At 41.3% G+C, this 24,589-nt stretch overlaps 1 protein-coding gene across 8 annotated transcripts in view, besides 1 other annotated feature; it reads right to left on the bottom strand.

Moving 5' to 3' along the window:
• Window positions 1-24,589, bottom strand: part of PELI2 (pellino E3 ubiquitin protein ligase family member 2) — a 183,114-nt gene that overhangs the window by 60,160 nt on the left and 98,365 nt on the right. The window contains exon 1 of one of the 8 annotated variants that reach the window (XM_047431612.1): window positions 15,996-24,589. This exon is cut by the window's right edge and continues 35,412 nt beyond it. The exons of 6 other annotated variants lie outside the window; for them this stretch is intronic. The gene's annotated coding sequence lies outside the window, so the exon portion shown is untranslated. Of the gene's footprint in view, window positions 1-2,604; window positions 6,647-15,995 lie in introns of those variants that run through there. One more of the 8 variants, XM_006720211.4, reaches the window with a different exon arrangement.
• Window positions 12,606-13,805: an enhancer, noted in NCBI's record as "BRD4-independent group 4 enhancer chr14:56694278-56695477 (GRCh37/hg19 assembly coordinates)". NCBI's record gives its function as "activates an origin of replication core promoter dependent on BRD2, P300/CBP, MED14 and CDK7 cofactors, and independent of BRD4, by STARR-seq in HCT116 cells {active_cell/tissue: HCT116}" and the evidence as "EXISTENCE:reporter gene assay evidence [ECO:0000049][PMID:35650434]".

Here is a 24,589-nt window from a genome sequence, read left to right as displayed (position 1 = left end):
CAGACTTCCTGAATTGATTCCCAAATTTCCCAAATATTCTTTTTCCCCCCCAATTGTTCTACTTTTTGAGGGATTTTTTTAAATCTTAAGAGTTGCTTTAATCTTTTGTTACTAAATTTTAGTTTTCAGGAGTTCTTTCTTGCAGGCCTAACACTGGGTTATTGGGAGTCCCATTCATTTTACTGGAGGGAGCAGGATCCTTACCCTTTGCTATCTGTAAGGTCTTTTTCTCTCCATGTGGTTGATTTCCTCAGAGAAGAATACTCAAACCTCCTGGGGATGATACTGGTCCAGTTTCCAGTGTTCCAGGAGCCAAGCAAGGGGAGACTGTCAAGATCTCACTACTCAGCACAGGGATTTTCACTTTGAAAAATCCCCATGGGTTCTTGCTTTCTCGTTATTTTAAGGAAATATGTATAAAGATAATGCAGTGGAATACAGGGAAAAACAAACATGGTCATAATGTCATATTGTTCTTAGTGACCCACTTTACAGAGAAGGCAACTGGGTCTAATCAGATGGGGGCAGGATCCAAATCCAAGTATCCAGGCTTCAGCCTTAAGCTCCTCCCCACAGCTACTCTGCCTTGGGGACCCACATCCATCCAAAGCTAGCATTCCACCTGAGCCTGAGCATCAGCATCTCTTTACCCCCTAGTCCCCTCTTCTAGAGCTACTCCGTTTCCTCTTCCCTGGCTTCTTAGGTTGGCATTCAAACATGGCCTGTCTTAAAGATCTCCTCTTGCTCCTCATCTCCTTCCACTTACCACTACAGACTAACACAGCCAAACTCCTTGAAAGAGTAGTCTTCCTGTACTGTCTCCATTTCGTTACCCCCTCACTGACCAACCATCTAAAATATGGCAATTCACCCCCGTAACTGCACCGAAACTATTCTTGCTAACATCACTAACACAACCTTGTCTGTAATCCAGTTCACACTTTCACTTTTGGCATCATCCTTGTTGCCTCCCTTTCCTTAAGCCCCACATCCAATCATTTACCCAGTTGGTCATTTCTACCTCCTACGCATCTCTGGAGTCCATCCCCTTCTCTCCTGCTCCACCGTCAGGCCCCCAATCGTCTCGCCCCAGGATACCCTAACAGCCTCCTATCCTAACAGGTCTCCTGCCCTCCAGTCTTCCCCTCCACACTGCACCCGAGTGGCGGTGCTAAAACACAAATCTGATCGTGTCACACATCCCTGCTGAAACTACTTCTGTGTTGTCTCACTGCCCTTGAAACAACATTTCAAACTCAACACAGCTTATCAGGCCTTCATGATCTGGCCCAAATATCTTAATGAATAAGGGACTGGAAGTTCCCAGAGGGGTCAGTGACTTGTTGCCATTGTTGGCTCACCAGAAGGGGAGGCTGAGTTTGAACCTGGGTCTTCATCTCCAAATCCTACTCTTTTCTGCTACTGATAGATTATTTCTTTTATTGTCTACTTCACATTATCCATCCTCCTTGTCATTTCTATCAATAAATGTAACTAAGAGTTGATTATGGATGAAAAAATGTAGACTCGGGGAATTTGCTGAAAGTCACACAACAGCCACGACTCCCCCTGAGCTCTGTGCTCTCACTGCTTCTCTAAAGGACTTCCCAAATCACCAGTGCTTTGAGGGGTCGTGTCCCTTCACAAGTGCACGGGGCTTGGGGAAGGACCATAGGGCACTGAACTCAGAAGACCTGGGCTCCAGTCTAGTCTGTATGCATATCCACAAACAGGATAAACAGGAGGCTTACTCTGTTTGCCACTCAGAGCTCTTGTGGAAATCAAACGAGAATAGAAACAGGAAAATACCTTACAAATATGTTGTAATTAGTATTAATAAGGGCAGGTTTAAAAATAAAGGTCTAGAAGAGCATGCTTAAACAAATAATGCATTATACAACATACCTACTTACTCTAAAAAATCAGTTCTCATATGTTGGTAGGACTATCAAACTCAAATAACTGATAGTAAGTCAAAGTTAGGAGACATTCTCTTGGAAAGTCCAGGAATTTTTAAAAGCAGATATTCTAAGATAGCCTCTTCTTGAGGACTATTTCCCTATTTTCAATTCCAAAGAATGAACACATATTCATCTTTCTAGACTTTCTAGACTATTTAAAACTCACAAAGGCAACTGTTTTGCACTTTTGAAAATGCAGAGAGCAAGACAGGCAATAAATATCATTTGTGGTTTAATAATTAATGTTTTTCATTATTGTAGCCCTTTTACAAAGATGAATTTATACTTTAAGATCTCCAGTTCACTAACACATAATTAGCATAAAAAGGCCTCTCTGAAAAATGTGATAACATTTAGAATCAATTCATGCTTCTAATCAAACCCAATGAAATAAACATTTTTCAACATTAACAATAAAGTATGTTTAATTTACTGCTTGAGTTGGTTTAATCACATTAAGGAAGTTTTCAGCTACCTTCCTACCTGTTACTCTTCTAACCTCTTTTATCTCTAGAAAAGCATTGTTTTTCTAGTTCACTGAACAAATCCCTTCATGTGAACCTTAAGATAACTTTAACCCACAAATCCTCCTGGTTAAACATCTCTGTCAAATATGTTCGTGGGCCCGGAATCTGCCACTCACCTGGCTTTTAGATACAAGCTTCGTGTCTCTGTACAATTAGTTTCACGAACTATCTTAGTAATGAATTAATTTTACTCCAAATTCAGTGCCTGAAATTTAGAACAAACCTTATTACAAATAAAATCACAGTAAGTCTACACAACCTAGTGAACCCTTCCATCAAAAGTCAGGAAACCCAACAAAAGTTACTTAAGAGCACGGAGGGATGAGGGTTTTATTACGACAGCGGCAAAATCATTAGAGAGATGGATTAAGAACCCTAAGCATCTTCAACTGCTATTACCACTGCTAGAACTGCCTCCTAAAAATATTTATGACAAGAACCTAAAATATACCTAATAGATTTTTTGGATGTATTACTGGAAGACTGAAATCAGCAGGAATGCTAATTAATGCAGTTAATACGAAACAGCAATTGACATCAAATGTTGGGTAAAATGAGATTTTAAGAACTTTAATCTCTTCCCCTAAAGACAGTAAATGAAATTCCTCTGTAAAATATAACATTTTAAAAGTCAATAGAACTGCAAGAGGCATATTAACTCAGCAGAGTTGGTTATTATTAATTATAACTGAATACCTACCAACTTCTGCAGGCAGAACTGACTGACAATAGGTTAAGTCAAAGTGGTAGGCTTTTAAACAACTTAGGAGATTTTCAGATTCTAGATAATTTTCTATTCAAGAAAATTATTCTTAAGCAAAGATAAATAGAATTAAATCAGGGCCTTAATATGCCCATTAAAAAAGAATCATATAACAGCAACATCATTTATCTTTTTTTAAAGACATACTGTCCATAATTCGAGGATGAATAAGATCTGAGTTAAAACAGTATGCATGAAAAAGCTCAGGGTTGGGGGTAGGAGGAGTAGGGAGTGGGGAAATAAGAACTGATTGACTATTAGTTCTATCAACCATAATGAACGGTGCCACAGAGCTACACAGAAAGACACAGACAACATGAAAAGAAGTATCTGGTCAGTCCACATGCTCTGACATGTTTAGGTCATATCTGGAATAGTATGTCTAACTATGAACATGCAGTGTTTGAGGAACGGACACACTAGATATCAAATAGAGGGAAATAACCAGCAATTATGATGCTTGGGGATGGAGATTTACCTCAAACCATATTGCCCAAGAAGCAGCTAGAGACACCGAGGGAAGAGGAAGCTTAGTGGTGGAGGAAGGAAGAGGCCCAAAATACATGAAGCCACATGGGAAAGGGAGATTCATCTGTGTTGCTTCAAAGAACAGAATATTAAACAATGGGGAGAAATTAATGGAAGAGATAATTTAGTTCCACCTAAGAAAGAAAGATCTAAAAATTAGAGTTGTCTGAGTAGAATGGGATGCTGAACAAGTGAATACTGAATATTAAGCAAGGTGTGGATGCGTTTCTGCCATGGATTCTGTGAATCTTCCTAGCCCCTGTAGTGGAAAGCAGACAGGCTAAATAAATAATTAATTGATTTCTTAGGAATTAATTGAGGATTTCCATTTCTGGGCGTTTGTCTAAGTAGGCACTCTGACCAATTCTACATAAATTCTCATACTGAAAACTAAAAATGTATACAACGTTAAAAACAGGTCAATAATAAATAGGACCTGACTGGTGAGTAAGGAATATTAGAAGTCAAAGCTTAAGTAAGGGCAGGAATCTCAAGAAGCAAGGAGGGGACATTTGCTAAAGGGGGACAGAATTTTCCTTTGATTTTCACAGTCTTGTGAGAGTGCTAGGAGCAGGGGGAAAAGCCCAGGGGCTGCCCAAGATGGAGCATCTAATAGGGCATCCCAAAGGACCACAGCCTCAGTATTTGGAAGAAAACAATTAAACTGACACCTCCAGAGTACAAAGAAAGTTGCCTATCTCAAATCTTGGTACAAATAGAACAGGGAGAGATCCATGCACCTCCAGGAATTCATAATCACAAGCCAGCACTTCTAAAAGTTTGTGGCCAGAAATAACTTGAGGTCCAAAAAACCCCAAGTTGAAAGTTGACTTTCCAGTGCTCCCCAGGGAAGGGGAGGGTGGTGGCTCCAGTCACCTGGGAAAAGCAAAGGCAGCTCCTCTCTGGAGGAACCTGCCCTTAACTCCTGTCTCAGAGAATTACCCCAGATAGGCTTCCAAGAAATATGAACTCATAATAAAAAAATAAAAATACAAAAACCAATGCACCATGAGTAAAAGGCAGCAAAAACAAGAGAGAGTAGAATCAGAACTGTAAACGCTTTAGCTACTGAATTTATCAAAAACAGGACTGAGACTAAAGGCATGCATATGCATGCATCACACACACAATACTCAAAGCCAGCTAGAAGTCTGGATATGCTGGAATCTCATTCATTCCTCAGAAGCATCCTAAGATCACAGCTTTAGAGGTGCTGTAAAAGTTATTACATAAAGTGTCATTAAAACCTGAGAATAAAGGCCTCCTCCAGGTATTCATGACATGACAGCTTATCTCTGCACAAAGAGCCGTAGCTAGAATAACGCTATGTGGGTACCAGTATATACACACCTCTCGACACGTGCTTTAAATCAACTCCAAGTATGTTTACTTTGAAACATACTAGAGTAATTAAAAGTGGTCAATTTAGAAATTAAAAAACAATTAAAAATTCTATTAGTTTCACAAGAGTTAAACTTTAAAAAATCAAAACAAAAATTTTTTAAGTGACATATTTTTAAAGTGATAATTTTTTTAAAGTAATAGTGGGGAGGGAGGTGAAATCCCACTAGGACCAAAAGAGAAACAAAAGAAAATGTCAAGGACCAACAGTTAAATTATTTTATGAGTTTGATACCTTGTATTTACATAGATAATGAAATTGAATCAAAAACCACTCAGTGGAAATCTAACCTCACCAGCTAGGTTATGCCTTTGTACCTAAATGTACGCAGAAATGCCCTTCTCTTCCCTGTCTTCCCCATGGTTTACTAACAGGGATGAGCAACAAGAAAACTGGGCAGACAGCTCCTCTGCAGGATACATGCTTATGTATTGGAAATAATATAAGGAAATGAAAATATCCATCTTCCATCCTTCTATAAAATTGAAAGATACGGATTTGCCATAAACACCATGTTCTACAAACAAGTATTGCTTGTACCACTATATCCCTGGATGGCCAGGCTTGGACTGCATGACTCTGGCAGGGCCAGCCCCTGCATACAGGTGACCACAGCAGCACTGGCAGTCTGAGACTAGGACAGTTAGGCCAGCAGCTCTAGGCCTGGCTCTAAAAGGTGACCTGAGCAACAAAGAAAGATGCCACCCGTTAGCGTAGAAGAGAGGATGAAAGCTCAAGATGTCAACTGGAGTTCACGGGAGTGAGCCAGAGTTCTGAGACTGAGTTTCTCCATGTTCCCTTTAAGTACAATGTGCATTTTCAAAGATTTCTCTGGAAGTCCCCAAATTTTGGGGGGATATATCTTGACATTGTAGTTATAATAATCTTTTTTCTTTAGGCCTTTGTATTATTTACTTCTCTAGCAGGTAACATTTTATTCACCACAGTATTAACTTTTTTTTTTAGGTGGTTCTAGTAAAGGAATATTAACTATTAGGTTGGTGCAAAAGAAATTGTGGTTTTTGCCATTAAAAGTAATTATGAAAAACACAATTACCTTTGCACCAAGCTAATACTAAACTTTGAAGTAGAGATGACAGTTTTTTCCTGATATACTTCCTAAGCCTTGTTTTAGTTTTCTTAGATGTGAAACAAACGTAACACCCTCAGAAAAGAAAGTGAAGTAGTAGGAAGGAAAAGGCTTCCATGCAAAGCTCTGTTGGGAAGATCCAACTTCCTAGTCCCTGTTACCAGGTTTGGGCAATTTAAGCCCCTGCCAGCACCCACAACCAGCCCTCCATCCCCATGCTATGCACAAGTGGAACCAACTCCATGCTCCATTGCCTTCTTCACCTTCATTTCCAGTTTTCCTACAGATTAGCGCAAATACACTCACAGGCCTCACCAGGCTTCACTTTTTACATTTTTTAAAAAAAATACTTTAAGTTCTAGGGTACATGTGCACAATGTGCAGCTTTGTTACATATGTATACATGTGCCATGTTGGTGTGCTGCACCCATTAACTCATCATTTACATTAGGTATACTTCCTAATGCTATCCCTCACCCCTCCCCACAACCCACCACAGGCCCTGGTGTGCGATGTTCCCCACCCTGTGTCCAAGTGTTCTCATTGTTCAATTCCCACCTATGAGTGAGAACACATGGTGTTTGGTTTTCTGTCCTTGTGATAGTTTGCTCAGAATGATGGTTTCCAGCTTCACCCATGTCCCTACAAAGGACATGAACTCATCCTTTTTTGTGGCTGTATAGTATTCCATGGTGTATATGTACCACATTTTCTTAACCCAGTCTATCATTGATGGACATTTGGGCTGGTTCCAGGTCTTTGCTATTGTGAATAGTGCCACAATAAACATACGTGTGTATGTGTCTTTATAGCAGCATGATTCATACTCCTTTGGGTATATACCCAGTAATGGGATGGCTGGGTCAAATGGTATTTCTAGTTCTAGATCCTTGAGGAATGGCCACACTGTCTCCCACAATGGTTGAACTAGTTTACAGTCCCACCAACAGTGTCAAAGTGTTCCTATTTCTCCACATCCTCTCCAGCACCTGTTGTTTCCTGACTTTTTAATGATCGCCATTCTAACTGGTGTGAGATGGTATCTCATTGTAGTTTTGATTTGCATTTCTCTGATGGCCAGTGATGATGAGCATTTTTTCATGTGTCCGTTGGCTGCATAAATGTCTTCTTTTGAGAAGTATCTGTTCATGTCCTTCGCCCACTTTTGATGGGGTTAATATTCCCTTATAAATTTGTTTAAGTTCTTTGTAGATTCTGGATATTAGCCCTTTGTCAGATGGGTAGATTGCAAAAATTTTCTCCCATTCTGTAGGTTGCCTGTTCACTCTGATGACAGTTTCTTTTGCTGTGCAGAAGCTCTTTAGTTTAATTAGATCCCATTTGTCAATTTTGCCTTTTGTTGCCATTGCTTTCGGTATTACAGTCATGAAGTCCTTGTCCATGCCTATGTTATGAACGGTATTGCCTACGTTTTCTTCTAGGGTTTTTATGGTTTTAGGTCTTACGTTTAAGTCTTTAATCCATCTTGAGTTAATTTTTGTATAAGCTGTGAGGAAGGGATCCAGTTTCAGCTTTCTACATATGGCTAGCCAGTTTTCCCAGCACCATTTATTAAACAGGGAATTCCTTCCCCATTTCTTGTTTTTGTCAGGTTTGTCAAAGATCAGATGGTTGTAGATGTGTGGTATTACTTCTGAGGGCTCTGTTCTGTTCCATTGGTCTATATCTCTGTTTTGGTACCAGTACCAAGCTGTTTTGGTTACTGTAAACTTGTAGTACAGTTTGAAGTTAGGTAGCTTGATGCCTCCAGCTTTGTTCTTTTGGCTTTGGATTGACTTGGCAATGTGGGCTCTTTTTTCGGTTCCATGTGAACTTTAAAGTAGTTTTTTCCAATTCTGTGAAGAAAGTCACTGCTAGCTTGATGGGGATGGCATTGAATCTATAAATTACCTTGGGCAGTATGGCCATTTCACGATATTGATTCTTCCTATCCATGAGCATGGAATGTTCTTCCATTTGTTTGTGTCCTTTTTTATTTCGTTGAGCAGAGGTTTGTAGTTCTCCTTGAAGAGGTCCTTCACATACCCTGTAAGTTGGATTCCTAGGTATTTTATTCTCTTTGAAGCAACTGTGAATGGGACTTCACTCATGATTTGGCTCTCTGTTTGTCTTATTGGTATAGGAATGCTTGTGATTTTTGCACATTGATTTTGTATCCTGAGACTTTGCTGGAGTTGCTTTCAGCTTAAGGAGATTTTGGGCTGAGATGATAGGGTTTTCTAAATAGACAATCATGTCATCTGCAAACAGGGACAATTTGACTTCCTCTTTTCCTAATTGAATACCCTTTATTTCTTTCTCCTGCCTGACTGCCCTGGCCAGAACTTCCAACAGTATGTTGAATAGGAGTGGTGAGAGAGGGCATCCCTGTCTTGTGCCAGTTTTCAAAGGGAATGCTTCCAGTTTTTGCCCATTCAGTATGATACTGGCTGGGGGTTTGTCATAAATAGCTCTTATTATTTTGAGATATGTCCCGTTGATACCTAGTTTATTGAGAGTTTTCAGCATGAAGGCTGTTGAATTTTGTCAAAGGCTTTTTCTGCATCTATTGAGATAATCATGTGCTTTTTGTTTCTGGTTCTGCTAATATGATGGAACACATTTATTGATTTGCGTATGTTGAACCAGCCTTGCATCCCAGGGATGAAGCCAACTTGATCATGGTGGATAAGCTTTTTGATGTGCTGCTGGATTTGGTTTGCCAGTATTTTATTGAGGATTTTTGCATCAATGTTCATCAGGGATATTGGTCTAAAATTCTCTTTTTTTGTTGTGTCTCTGCCTGGCTTTGGCATCAGGATGATGCTGGCCTCATAAAATGAGTTAGGGAGGATTCCCTCTTTTTCTATTGATTGGAATAGTTTCAGAAGGAATGGTACCAGCTCCTCTTTGTACCTCTGGTAGAATCTGGCTGTGAATCCTTCTGGTCCTGGACTTTTTTTGGTTGGTAAGCTATTAATTATTGCCACGATTTCAGAGCCTGCTATTTGTCTATCCAGGGGTTCAACTTCTTCCTGGATTAGTCTTGGGAGGGTGTATGTGTCGAGGAATTTATCCATTTCTTCTAGATTTTCTAGTTTATTTGCATAGAGGTGTTTACAGTATTCTCTGATGGTGGTTTGTATTTCTGTGGGATCGGTGGTGATATCCCCTTTATCATTTTTTATTGCATCTATTTGATTCTTCTCTCTTTTCTTCTTTATTAGTCTTGCTAGCAGTCTATCAATTTTGTTGATCTTTTCAAAAAACCAGCTCCTGGATTCACTGATTTATTGAAGGGTTTTCTGTGTCTCTGTCTCCTTCAGTTATGCTCTGATCTTAGTTATTTCTTGCCTTCTGCTAGCTCTTGAATGTGTTTGCTTTTGCTTCTCTAGTTCTTCTAATTGTGATGTTAGGGTGTCAATTTTACATCTTTCCTGCTTTCTCTTGTGAGCATTTAGTGCTATAAACTTCCCTCTACACGCTGCTTTAAATGTGTCCCAGAGATTCTGGTATGTTGTGTCTTTGTTCTCATTGGTTTCAAAGAACATCTTTATTTCTGCCTTCATTTCGTTATGTACCCAGTAGTCATTCAGGAGCAGGTTGTTCAGTTTCCATGTAGTTGAGCAGTTTTGAGTGAGTTTCTTAATCCTGAGTTCTAATTTGATTGCATTGTGGTCTGACAGACAGTTTGTTATAATTTCTGTTCTTTTACATTTGCTGAGGAGTGCTTTACTTCCAGCTATGTGGTCAGTTTTGGAATAAGTGCAATGTGGTGCTGAGAAGAATGTATATTCTGTTGAATTGGGGTGGAGAGTTCTGTAGATGTCTATTAGGTCTGCTTGGTGCAGGGCTGAGTTCAAGTCCTGGATATCCTTGTTAACTTTCTGTCTCGTTGATCTGTCTAATGTTGACAGTGGTGTATTAAAGTGTCCCCCCACTTTACTGTGTGGAAGTCTAAGTCTCTTTGTAGGTCTCTAAAGACTTGCTTTATGAATCTGGGTGCTCTTATATTGGGTGCATATATATTTAGGATAGTTAGCTCTTCTTGGTGAATTGATCCCTTTACCATTATGTAATGGCCTTCTTTGTCTCTTTTGATCTGTTGGTTTAAAGTCTGTTTTATCAGAGACTAGGATTGCAACCCCTGCCTTTTGTTTTGTTTTGTTTTCTATTTGCTTGGTAGACCTTCCTCCATCCCTTTATTTTCAGCCTCTGTGTGTCTCTGCACGTGAGATGGGTCTCCTGAATACAGCACACTGATGGGTCTTGACTCTTTATCCAATTTGCCAGTCTGTGTCTTTTAATTGGAACATTTAGCCCATTTACATTTAACATTAATATTGTTACGTGTGAATTTGATCCTGTCATTGTGATGTTAGCTGGTTATTTTGCTTGTTAGTTGATGGAGTTTCTTCCTAGCATCAATGGTCTTTACAATTTGGCATGTTTTTGCAGTGGCTGGTACCAGTTGTTCCTTTCCATGTTTAGTGCTTCCTTCAGGAGCTCTTGTAAGGCAGGCCTCGTGGTCACAAAATCTCTCAGCATTTGCTTGTGTGTAAAGGATTTTATTTCTCCTTCACTTCTGAAGCTTAGTTTGGCTGGATATGAAATTCTGGCATGAAAACTCTTTTCTTTAAGAATGTTGAATACTGGCCCCCACTCTCTTCTGGCTTGTAGGGTTTCTGCCGAGAGATCTGCTGTTAGTCTGATGGGCTTCCCTTTGTGGGTAACCCGACCTTTCTCTCTGGCTGCCCTTAACATTTTTTCCTTCATTTCAACTTTGGTGAATCTGACAATCATGTGTCTTGGAGTTGCTCTTCTAGAGGAGTATCTTTGTGGCATTCTCTGTATTTCATGAATTTGAATGCTGGCCTGCCTTGCTAGGTTGGGGAAGTTCTCCTGGATAATACCCTGAAGAGTGTTTCCCAACTTGGTTCCATTCTCCCCTTCACTTTCACGTACACCAATCAGAAATGGATTTGGTCTTTTCACATAGTCTTGTATTTCTTGGAGGCTTTGTTCGTTTCTTTTTACTCTTTTTTCTCTAAACTTTTCTTCTCGCTTCATTTCATTCATTTGATCTTCAATCACTGACACCCTGTCTTCAACTTGATTGAATCAGCTACTGAAGCTTCTGCATGCATCACGCAGTTCTCGTGCCATGGTTTTCAGCTCCATCAAGTCATTTAAGGTCTTCTCTAGGCTGTTTATTCTGGTTAGCCATTTGTCCAATCTTTTTTCAAGGTTTTTAGCATCTTTGCAATGGGTTTGAACATCGTCCTTTAGCTCAGAGAAGTTTATTATTACCGATCGTCTGAAGCCCACTTCTGTCAACTCGTGAAAGTCATTCACTGTCCAGCTTTGTTCTGTTGCTGGTGAGGAGCTGCATTCCTTTGGGGGAGAAGAGGCACTCTGGTTTTTAGAATTTTCAGCTTTTCTGCTCTGGTTTCTCCCCATCTTTTTGGTTTTATCTACCTTTGGTCTTTGATGATGGTGACGTACAGATGGGGTTTTGGTGTGGATGTCCTTTCTGTTTGTTACTTTTCCTTCTAACAGTCAGGACCCTCAGCTGCAGGTCTGTTGGAGTTTGCTGGAGGTCTACTCCAGACCCCGTTTGCCTTGGTATCACCAGTGGAGGCTGCAGAACAGCAAATATTGCAGAACAACAAATGTTGCTGCCTGATCCTTCCTCTGGAAGCTTCGTCTCAGAGGGGCACCCTGCTGTATGAGGTGTCAGTCAGCCCCTACTGGGAAGTGTCTTCCAGTTGGGCTACTCAGGGGTCAGGGACCCAACTGAGGAGGCAGTCTGTCCGTTCTCAGATCTCAAACTCCGTGCTGGGAGAACCACTACTCTCTTCAAAGCTGTCAGACAGGGATGCTTAAGTCTGCAAAAGCTTCTGCTGCCTTTTGTTCAGCTATTCCCTGCCCCCACAGGTGGAGTCTACAGAGACAGGCAGGCCTCCTGCGGTGGGCTCCTCCCAGTTCGAGCTTCCTGGCTGCTTTGTTTACCTACTCAAGCCTCAGCAATGGCAGACGCCCCTCCCCGAGCCTTGCTGCCATCTTGCAGTTCGATCTCAGACTGCTGTGCTAGCAATGAGCAAGGCTCTGTGGGTGTGGGACCCCCAAGCCAGGTGTGGGATATAATCTCCTGGTGTGCTGTTTGCTAAGACTGTTGGAAAAGCACAGTATTAGGGTGGGAGTGTCCCGATTTTCCAGGTACCGTCTGTGACGGCTTCCCTTGGCTAGGAAAGGGAATTCCCTGATCTCTTGCGCTTCCCAGGTGAGGGGATACCCCACCCTGCCTCAGCTCACACTCCGTGGGCTGCACCCACTGTCCAACAAGCCCCAGTGAGATGAACCTGGTACCTCAGTTGGAAATGCAGAAATCATCCGTCTTCTGCATCGCTCACACTGGGAGCTGTAGACTGGAACTGTTCCTATTCAGCCATCTTGGAACCCACCTAGCCATTTTTTAAATCTTAACGCAAATTAAGCAGGTGAATTTTTTAATCCAGTTTTTAAAAAATGTTAAGTTTATAATCGTGTATTTTCCCATAATAAAGTTACTGAATATTTTTGTCACCTAATTATAAAATACATGATTAACTGTGAACAAAATAAAAATAAATAAAAGATATTCAACTTAGGTATCCTTGAATAAAAATTAGGCCTTTATAGATATATAGTATAGATCAGAAGTCTAATTCTCCAGGGTTTTAAAAAATTGTTTCTTTTTCCTTCCAACAGCTATGGATCTACATATAGGTTCCCAGAGTGGCACTGATGAGTGGCTGCATCATGCTGAAAAAGGGAAAGATGAACCACAGCAAGATAGATCAGTATGGCTGACTTCAAATAATAATGTTCCTGTCACAAACTAGAAATGCTTAATATCCATTTGAAATGAAAATGCTGTCTTTTATACATGGCTATTGTTCTATTATCTCCTGAAATGAAAGTTTTACAGGGCAGGAGCCTTCTTTGAAAGCATGGCCTTCTATTCAGATAAAATTATTAAAGCATTGTACTACGTATATTAGGAGTGATACATTATTTTCGATGCCTAGAAGCAATGAAGGGGTAACCCTTGGCTTTTTAGTTCCACTCCTAGCAGTGGCACAGATTCATTCCTTAGTTTGAATCTGCATTTTTTTGGTGGGTAACTTTAAAATTTACTTCGGTGCTTATACTGTCCAGATTTGCTGGTGGAACTCCTTCAATCTGGCTTATGAGCCCTTCTGAAAGCCCTCTGTAATTTTTGAGCACTCTCTTACTTTTTGGCACAACACAATGTTCAGGTCTATTTTGTACTTTCCCTCCCCAGACCCTGGAATTGGTCAGTTCTCCAAGGAGCCCTGGTTCCTTTCTGGGCAGAATGATATATAGAAACCGAGATCTGGATGTCCGCTGTACTTACTGCTACTGGAGTGCTGCTGCTCCCAGGCTTCGCCAGCAAACAGAGCTAGAGACTACATGTAAGTCTATAGCTATGTACACATATATTCATATTTGCATCTATACTTATTTCTATGTCTGCACGTACTGAAATCCATGAACTCATACCAATAACTCCAATTCAAAACTACCACCACAGCATTCATTCTCGTTTTCTCCTTTCCATTTTTGTAATTATTTTCTCTGAAGTGAGAAATCTGGCTCCAGTTATCCCAGATATACTTAGGTATTTGATCTATTTTCCTGTATGTAACTAACCACTCATTCACTGCCACCACCAGGCCCAGCCCCAGTGGGGCACTCTCCTCACTCTAAGTGGGCTCAAACACCCTGAGTTGGGCAGCTACTGCCACTCCTCACACACCCCCATCTCATCCCTCTCAAGCTCTGCCATCCAAACCTAGTCATCCCAGCTGGCCTGCCCTGGCCCAGTGCCCCGCTCCCCACACACACAGTTACCTTGCCCAGGCCCACCTAATGACTTCTGGGCTGAAATGTTGAGCAACTGGAAGAGGAGAACTTGGTAACTATCTTTAAAATAAAATATAACTAATATTTTATTAGATAATTTGTTTTCATTTTGTATAATAGACACATTCCTGAAAATTGCCACAGACATTTAAACTTTTATAGAGGAATCAAATTTTAGAGCCCTGGGGGCCTTCTACTTAAAGAAACACTGTGGTGAGTATTTCATAAAGTAAAAAGTCATTTTTTAATGTGAGTAATTCCTACTAAGGTACATGTTCTGCAAAATTTGATTATCACCAAACATGAGTTTTTAAAGTGCTAATATCTGAAGATATAAAGTTCACTAAATATCAGTCAAGGTACTCCAGAATTTCAAAACTTATGCCTGAACAAACAAAATATCATTTCATTGTAATGGAGACATCCCAGGGCATAAACTTCTTTTTCAGTAAAATAAATTAAAGGGCACATTCGAAAAGTTTCCAACAGCTCACAGAATATTACCAATCTTAACACAAGTGCCATGGCATCTACGTCTGGAAGGGGAAGGTAAACTACGACTTCATAAAGTAATTGTTGTGCAAACACATGCCCATCAATACAATTTGAGGGATACTTAATTACCTGTACATTTATTTAAAAATTTGGTCTGAAATCCATACAAGTGGATTAGAAAAAAAGCACAGCGCCTTTTCACCTTGCCTTTGTGTCATTAATTGTTACCAGAAAAGGACAAAGCACCTCTCTGCCTCCAAATAATCCAGGAAGCAAGGTTTGCCTGGCAGCAAGGAATACATCCAAGAAGCAGATGGCAGCACTGGTGGGCTGGCCAGTGAGGCTGATCATCAGTGAGGTGGGCAGGGGTGAAAAGCAAATGGAAGGAATGGAGAAGCAGCCTGGGCCTGGGTTAGCCACGCATGTGCAAGAACCTGGGAGCGAAATCCTTGCTGGGTCAGGCAGTGGTGGGCTAACGAGACAGGTGGGTCAGACCTATGTCAGATAAGCAAGGTGAGCCTGGGGTCTCAATCAAACTATGAGAGCGACTCAGGCTCACTTGACCTGACTTCTTCTTCTTCTTCTTTTTTTTTTCCTGTTTGGTATGCTGGGTCTTCCTTTGGCAACCTTCACTCTGGCAGTCAGTTTCTGCACTGGGAAAGGGAGTGCAGACTAGTGTTAAAAACACAGATTCTGAAACCAGACTGAGTTCAAATCCAGGTTTCACAGTATATTATCACAAGATTTGCAACCTCTCTGTGCCTCAGTTTCCACATGACATACATATCCCCAAACACCAGAATGGGGACTAGTGGAGCAAGGGACCCCCTGCCCACCTTGGTGACATGCTAGACCATGGAAGGGCAGCTGTGCAGTGGTTCTGGGGCTGCCCCTAGTCAGAGGCTTCTCTGGATAGGTTTTCTCCAGGCTCTCCTTCGGTGGCTTCTGCCTCCTCTAGGACAAGGAAAACCGAGGGAGAAGTACCAAAGTGGGCACCACCACTCCTGAAAAGGTGATGCTGCTGGGCGTTGTGACCGCTGCCCCTGCCCCTTCCCTCACTGCAGCCCTCTTGGCGTGTCCCCAGTAGAATGGCCCAGGCTCTGCCACCCCCACAGCTAGCACAGGACCTCACTTGAAAATGTGCTCCATTCAGCCCAACGTGGGCCCCATCTCCCATCATTCTGGGAGCTCCAGGAGGGACTTGGTGTGGTACCAGCCTCATTCCAACTCCCTCTAATCACGGGCTCCTCATCCTCCACATCTGACAGCTTTGTGGTCGCATCACTCCTGGTAGTCTTACCTCTTTCACACGCTGTACTCAGTCGGAGCTCTCAGAAACCTTCCTGATACCTCAGGAATCTTCCTGGAGCAGCCAGCCTCTGCCTCGCTCCAACACTGCTCTCCTAACAGCAGCCTGATGCCCCACCTCAGCCTGTGCCTCTGAAGTCCAAAGTTCACACAGCTGCTGCTCGGAATTCCTGGACGGGCCCCATCGTTTCCCTGTTTACCAGGGTCAGACCTCCATCCTCATTGTTCATCCTTACCAAACACTGATTACATATGCACACGCACATGTATTTACTCACTCTCCGCGTACTAAGCACCCAGCATTACGGTAGGCTATGGGGACATCCACTGAACATACAGTTATGTGCACACACCAAGAACTTCAAATGAGGCAGAGCACTGGGGGAGAAACCACTTAGTAATTACTATCAGCAATTACAGGGCAGTGTGGCTGGTGCTATGGCAGGATTATGTACCAAATAGGAGGGGACCCAGAGAAGGGAGCTGAGGCAGACAGGAAGAGGGTATGGGGGCCAGGTTTTTGCATTTTAATTCAACTATACTTCACGTGTTGACATTTTTATGAGTCTCACAAGTCCAGTGAAAAAAAGATTACCTTGTTAAAATACAACAAGCCCTGCAAAAATGTAGCAAAACATTTCCTTCCATGTATATATACAGAAATCAAACTATTACACAAAAAATATATTAAATTCTGATTTGCTTTTGTGAGCTAATAATTTAAAAAATCCTGACAAACTGCAGTGGGTAGAACTTGTCTGTGAGCTCAGTTTCTAAAAGGAGAGAAAGATACATAACACTTTACATTATACTGTAAGAATTCTATCCCTACTGAACTTTGAACAGATGGCCCTTTTCTCAAGTGCAACAATTTTACCAGCTAAGTTTCTGAGTAAGCTATTAATGAGTTTTTAAAAAGACACCAGAGGGCAAATCACAATGGACTTTCCAAGTGAGAAGATTCCAACTTATTAACTGTGCAGACCACACACTAGGTCATAGTCACCACCAGGTGGGATATGAGATTCAAGACAGATTGAGTAAACAATGCCAGAATCTGCTTTTCCCTGAGTCTAAATCACGTCTCTATGAGGTCTGCAAGCAGTATTAAATCATTGTATGGAAGCAAGTATTCCTATAACTGAAGATGGACACCTGAAATCAGCCCATTCAAATGAATATTGAAAGCCATCTAGGCATTATTCTGGATATTTCTGAACCTGTTCTGATTTCTAAACCAGAGCTTTTAAAAGTATATATACACATTCATCGGTCTCCTTTCTTTTCTCCTTTTAAAAGCCATGTTCATCCATATTTTCACATAAGATGAATTTATACTGCCCCACTATTTTGTAGACTATGAAGTCATTTGCTCTCAGAAATACACTCTAAAGTACATCGATCTCCACCATCCTTGTATATTTCTATTTGCCAAAATGGGTGCTGGATGGTACGGGAAAACAAGTATTATATGACACGAACTGGTAAATTAATCTCCTTCTGGAATTTTAGCAAACTGCATTCAAATCTTATGAAATTAGAGTGAATGATGCCTAAATTAGAAAAATGAACGAAAAACCTACTGTGACTTATTTTGCCCTTCTGCAACTTCAGAGAGTTACTAAACACAGTATTGAAATCTGCATTTGGCCCTCAATGGAGTTAATAATAATAAATGATCAAATATTTTCTAGTATGAAAAGAAGAAAAATAATCAAGACATGTATGCAACTTATAAACAGGCTCTTTTACAATTAGATTTTCCTCTCTCTACATCTGCTTTCATATTTTGCTTTCCTATTATTATGACTGCACCCAATCCACAATTGTGGCCTTTTTCTGCACATCTGCAAGCCATAGGGGAACAGGACAACATGCGAGTAGAGACCAGGATGGTCTTCAGAGACCAAGGGCTGGGTCTCACCACCTATGGGCTGAATACTACTCAGTGACAGGGAACCCCCATATGAGTCAAGGGGGAGAATGTCAAAGCTCTAAAGTATTTCACACCATCCCCCAGTGTCTCTAAGTCCTTCTCCCAGAGAGCACTGGGAGCCTAAGAATTCCTCTGCCCCTTAAGAAGAAGCATTATTAAGCTCTGAAGTTAGAAATTAAGACCAGAGAGGGAGTTACGGTTAAGGAAAGAAAGACTCCCTTGGCAGCGGCAGTGGTGGTGAGAATAGTGCAATTTGCTTGGGTTTTCCAGGGCCCTCTTTATTCCTTTGGGTTTTGGCCACAGGCTGTAGAGGTGGACGGAGGCACGAGCATCAGGGGTCACTGGGAGGACCAAACTGCCTTACAGGCCTTGAACAGGGGTCGGCTGCAGCCATTTACCCCTTCCTCTCCTTCCCAATTCTCAAATAATGTCCTCGATTGTTCACCATTTGCCAAGGTATCATTTTGTCCTGTACGTGTTCCCTTCTCCTTCGTTCATCCTTTGCCCTTTCTCCATCAACACCTTCGCCCACTCTACCCCACCTACAACATGCAAACACACACTTCAGCTGCCATGTAGTTAGGCCAGGCTGTGCAATGCACAACAGCGCACAAGAAGCTGAAATCTACCCTGCACTCAGCTCCCTGCGCCACACAGCCTAGCGTCAGAGAATCAGAGGCACAAGAGGACCATCCATTCACCAAGCCTGTGCAGTGTCTGCCCAGAGAGGGCATCCTTTTCTAATATGTACAAACTAGAGCTGGCTCTGCTCCCTATCCTCTTAAGCTTTCACTGTGCACTAAAAAGACAGTTTTTCCATCAAAACAAATTATTTTCATATTGCCTTTGATGAAACACTTTTTTCATTTTAAGGCATGATATCAGTTCCTCTAAGTCAAATAGAGCTGTTTTAATGGAAATACATGAAGGGTTTCAGACAGTGTCTGGCACAGGCACGTGGTGAGCTTCAACTAAGTGGTAGATGTTAATGTTCTTACCTTTGTAAAGTACCATTCAACACTTGGTTCACCTAACAATGCGAGCACTTTTAATAGCGACTTAAGGAAAATCTGCCTTAGGCAAATTAAGGGAACTAAGTTGTTCCCACTTCTGATCTACATCCAGCAAAACAACTTCTGGAATTTGGAAAAAACGAATCACAGCTACGAAATGATTTAATTAAGCCACACATATGCAGACCAATGAAAAAGACATCTTGCCATGAAGATTAAATGAGGTGACACAGATAAAGCTTCTAGCATAATACAGCAGGAAGTTGGTAAAGTTTTTTATCAGTACACTTTTTTTCAAAACTAAGAAAAGGAGGTGGAAAAACTATTAAAAAAAAAAAAAGTCCAAAGCTAAAAAAGAATAGCAGCCTAGGGCCATTGTGCATAGAGGAAATCTACCTTAACACAAAATAACTGTTATTCAAGTCAAGGACTTCTTGCTGTGTAGTCTCTTCGAGGCTGGCAAGAGGCAGGAAGCTAAACTTCATGGAGTTCCTCTCGTGGCTGTCACATGTTATCAGGATACGTATGCTAAGCTCATCAGTATTCTCCCAGTTGAGGGTTGTTATCCCTCTTTCACACAAAAGGAACCAAGCAATTCGTCTCAAGGGAGGCCATAACCATGCAAAAGAAGGTTAAAATAAAATCTGAACATTTAAATTATCAACTATTTATAAAACTCTTCTCTATAGAATCACCCATTCACCGATGGTTTCAGACAGCTGAAGGTTTCCGTAAGTACAATTTCCCTTTGAGCATCTACACAAAAAGGGAGAACTCTTAAAACAGTATGCTGGGCCCCTATGGGTGTGTGTTTTGGCCTAGTCTCTCATCGTGATAAGTCTAGTTACCTTGGCAGTCAGACAAAGGAGTTTTAGAGAAGACACTCATTTCCAATTTGGGATCTGGCAAATACAAGTCTTCTGCAGTTTGTTTTATAAAATGAAACAATTATTCCTGAGCACTGTGTTAGGTGGAGTACAGGGGGTTGGAAAACCATGTGCCTATTCCTAGATTTTTAGCCTCAACAGCTGGCAGGCAAATCCTTGGAACCTGCTGCCAACACTGCAGGTCCAGGGCAAGCTGATGCCTCGAACCCACTTATCCTCCTTTCTCCAAGTGACCACTGGCTGCCTTACCTGAACTCCCTCCTATTAATGTCTCAGGGACTGAGCAACACTTCCTGGGCACAGATCCTCCTTAGGTAGGCCCTTCCTCTCCTTCCCAATGGCCTAAATTCAGTGCCTCACAAAGTGTTTGTTCTTTTTAGAAGTGGGTATTACAGCCTCTGGTGCAGTCTATGAAATGCAACTTCGGCTTTCTAGAAAGCATGGCCAGTTTTGCAGGTGGAGGCACGGCTTTGTCTCCAGTCTGTTACAGCTGTCCATGGCACAGAATGTCATGAGGCCTAACGGTCACCTGGCTTATAAACGAGGGCTATGTGCCTCCTCTCCTTCACAGCACTGCTGAAAGGACAGAATCACGTGCTTCTGAAAACTGAAGAAATGTAGGAAGTATATAATTCAAACTGTGCAGCTGTTTATATTTTCTGGAAGTCCTTGTAGGATTCTGAATTTTAGTCAAACAAGTTGGCACCATTTCGCGGCATTTCCTCCTTCCTACTCCCCATCTTCATGCTAATCTCCTTCACCTCCTCATCTTGGTGGTGGTTCTCTAACCATTGGTTATGCAGACACCTGGCTTTTCAATCTATGCCACCTCCCCTATGCTCTTCAACTGTAGGGCAGATTCTTCTTTCACTCCCTCCTTTTTTGCTTTTCATTGTTATACTCTTAAAAAATTTCAAACCAAAAGTGCAAACATACTGATTGTTTCATCTCATGATTTTTTGGCACAATCACACGTAGTATTGGAATCAGCGTTGTCCTTTTATACAAACTGTTATATAAATGCCAAAACACAGGGAAGCTATTGCTTGGTTTCTGGGTATTTTTCCAGGGTGAAAATTTTCACATTTTTCAGAAGAAAAATATAGATACATGCTGTGTTTTATAACTATGTTGTTTCAAAACTATCATTTTCCTTTCCCTTATTTTTTTCCCCAAGTACTAGCTTCCGGCCAGATTGTCATCTGTGCGTCAAACAGTACACACCCCTGCTGGTGTGCCTTTGCGCAAATGAAAATAATCTGATTTGGAAGCTACAGAGAGTTAAACCATCAATCCTGCAGTGTGGCCCACTGCAGTCACCTGGGCACTGGCAACAGTGCTCTGTCACACTGAGTCAGCAGCTGGGACACGTCTGTTGTGTGCCTCTTGTCCAGAGCTTTATAAAGAGAACAGAAGCAAGGGACAAGGTAATGCTGAATGTCTGCAGCCTGTAGATAAGACACGTTTGGTGAAACAGGAAAATTCTCAGTGTTGTTAACTTATTGTTTACCTAAACTGTTTATGATATGATTCCCAGGGCAAGCATTAATAAAGCAACAAAAAATGTTAGCAGAACACTTCAATTAACTGTTCTGCACAAGAGTTTTTTCAATCCTGAGCTGTTTTAAGGAGGCTGCATCCATTAAAGACATAACAAGGGACTCTTTCTGTAAGAATGTCAGCTGCCTCAAGTCCGCTGTGGAATGGGGCAAGTTACAAACATGTAAAAATAAATAAATGACTCTAACTGAATAGAGTCAAGGCATGTCGTGTCATTTTTCAGTTTACCAACCTAAGTACAATTTTCCACATCTAATTTTCTGCTTTTAAATTGGCTACTGAAATAGAAATGGGATAATCAGCCAGTTAAGAATCATCCATAAACAAGAACAAATGTGTCCTGGGAGTAGGACTAAGGAGGCCTCTTATGAGTGTGTGGCAGCTCAGAGACCCTTTCTTTGACTTCCTTGTGGATGCCTACTGTTTGTAAGATTGAGGGAGAGGCTGCTCAGATGAGAGAGCTATGACTGTGATAGCTGAGTGCTGAGGGGTAAAACAAATCATGCTGTAGTTACTGCGAGAGGAAAGGATGTTAAAAAGATGGAACCTGAACAAGGAAAATCAAGGAGGACTGATAAGAGTTAAAAACAGTTTATAACTTCAGGAAAGTCAACATTCATTTTAAAAATAGTTTAAGAATTAAGAGGGGGATCTCCTCTTTCAGTTTTGGAGCCCCCATCTGTCTCTGTACGGGGGAGCTTCTTCCTTCTGTCTTCTTCCTTCCTTCTTGCCTATTAAACTCTCTGCTCCTTAAAACCAAAATAAATAAATAAATAAACAAACACCTTATTGTCCTCAAGTCATCCAAAAAAAAATAAAAAAGGAATTAAGAGACCAGGATACTTAAAATGGCTTGTATTTGAAGCTACCTTCCCTTCCTAGGGTTCTGTTTATTCTTAGAAAAAGAAATGTGAAAAAAACAGGAAATGGATCTGGTCATGCTCAAGAGTATAAGGACTGGGCATTTTATAAATCCAGGTAAAAGCAGTGCGAGAGCACTGCCTGTTGCTCTAATATGTGCACAGCATTACATGACCAACCCCTTCATAGTTACCACCTCTGAAAACTCAACTCCCATCGCATTTAATGTTGACAAAATTTTCTGTGAATCAGAGTGCACTCTACAGACACAACACAGTTTCAGACCAATAGCTCTCTTGCTTTTTGTAGCTTAATCTGTAATCATCTTGGCAATTAAATCCTCTCTCTTCATTCCCCACCAACCTCTCTCTCTCTCAAACACACACACACACACACACACACGCACACATGTGCGTGCATGCACACAGTCTTGGATCTGATTTTTCTTAAGGCATTACCCGCAACAATAAAGAAGAATAACATTTCCATTTCCATCTCCTAGGGAAAATAAAGGAAAACATCTGGGAGGTGGAAGAGTAAGCAGGAAGAAATTAACCTTAAAATCTCGCACAAGACATTAACTTGTATGCAACTGACTACACAGTCAACTACAGAGTTCTCAAATGTGTAAAAATTGGCAACAAGTAAAGAAGTAACAATGTTGGTCTCAACACTAATCATTTTTATTATCAGAAGATCCACCTGGAACTACTTCTTTGCTCTAGTGCCATAAGGCATAAATAAGAAGAAAGTGCAATTCTTGGCTTATATGTTGAACACTAGACTAGTCTGCTTAATTGAACATCAGAACAGACAAAAAAAATTCTCTAGGTGCAAAAGCTGCTAGCTACTTTTTAGAAAAGGTTTACATTATTTGAAGGGAGATGTGCCAGAAAACAATGATAGATCACAACTACCTAATCTGGCCAAGGAAGGGACAAAATCAGTCTCTTCTTTGGTAGACCACTGGCTATGGAGTCCAGCAAAACAGGGCTCAAACCCCAGCTTTATCACGTATTAGCTACATGATGTTGAGCAGGTGTCCTCATTATGCCTCAATTTTTTCATATATAAAATAGGAATAGTTAGAATACCCAACTTAATGAGGTGGTTGGAGGAATTACAGGAGGTCCTATGTGAAAAGTAGTTAGCAGAGTGCTTCCCTGGTGAATGACCCTTCATAAATAGTAGCTCTGTATTAGCTGGCTGAGCAAGAGCCTGACTAAACAGTATTTGCTAACAGATCTGCGAGCTGGTGAGTATAACACTGTATGGAGCAGGCAGAAGGGAAAGGCAATCCTACCACGGAGAAGTGACAGCACGTTGGGCCAAGAGAGGAGAGAACAGAGAGATGACTGTCAAAATTTTAAAATCCCAAAGGTTAGAAAATAAGAAATAAACTGCCTTTTTCTATTACATGTTTTTGCTTTTCCTATAATGAAATGTATGTCTAGCTTTTAATGTGGAGCAGAATGAAAGGGTATCAAATGTTTGTTTAATGCAAACCTCAAAAACTACACAGTTTCCTGATGCAGTGAGTGGGGTGAAAAGAATGACCCAGGCTTGGCTGTCACTCAGAAAGTGGCAGACGGGGGACCTCTGGTGGACCCCTGGCCAAGCCGGACGCAGTCCTCCCCTCACTGCCAGAGGAGTCCTCCTCTTACAACAGCAGAATACGAATCTCCTCTGTGAGATTAATGGTCTCTGCACACCTGATGATGGTGGGTTAGACACTATAATCCTCTTCTGTGTTCTGGTTATATGCCCATTCCCCTCCCAGAAGACAGGATCTGCCCACAGGCCTGCCAGGAGGTGGAGGGGGCAGGGGCGCTGGGCTGCAGACCACAGGCAGCTACGTGAATCTGGGCAAAATCCTTACCCTACCTTGGCCTCAGTTTCCGTTTCCTCCTCTATGAAAAGGGGAGACACAGCTAACATTTTGGCCTCACAGGACTGTTGTTATCCTCAGATGAGAGATGCAACTATAATGTAACAAAAGAATGCAAGGAAATCTATTTTTAGAAACAACAGTCTGTTTGGAAACACTTTCCTTAATGTATTTAACACACTACTACACTCACAGTGAATGTTTAAAAAAAAATAACTTCTAGAACTCAATTGAGATGCTGACAAAGGACTAAATAATTTAGGACATGTTTGGAAATGATTAAATTCTTGAATTATTATATAGGTAAGCAAAATTATTCTTAGGGACAGTGTAACATTGCATGCTAATCAGCCTCAAGAGAAGCAGTAACTGTCAACAGCTCGTGGCACACAGCCAACTGTCTGCGGGGTAAGTAAAGAAACTGAATTAGCTTTTTCAGGG

This window comes from Homo sapiens, chromosome 14 (genome assembly GCF_000001405.40).
Source record: "Homo sapiens chromosome 14, GRCh38.p14 Primary Assembly".
NCBI classification, from domain to species: domain Eukaryota; kingdom Metazoa; phylum Chordata; class Mammalia; order Primates; family Hominidae; genus Homo; species Homo sapiens.
This window is presented reverse-complemented; position numbering and strand designations above follow the sequence as displayed.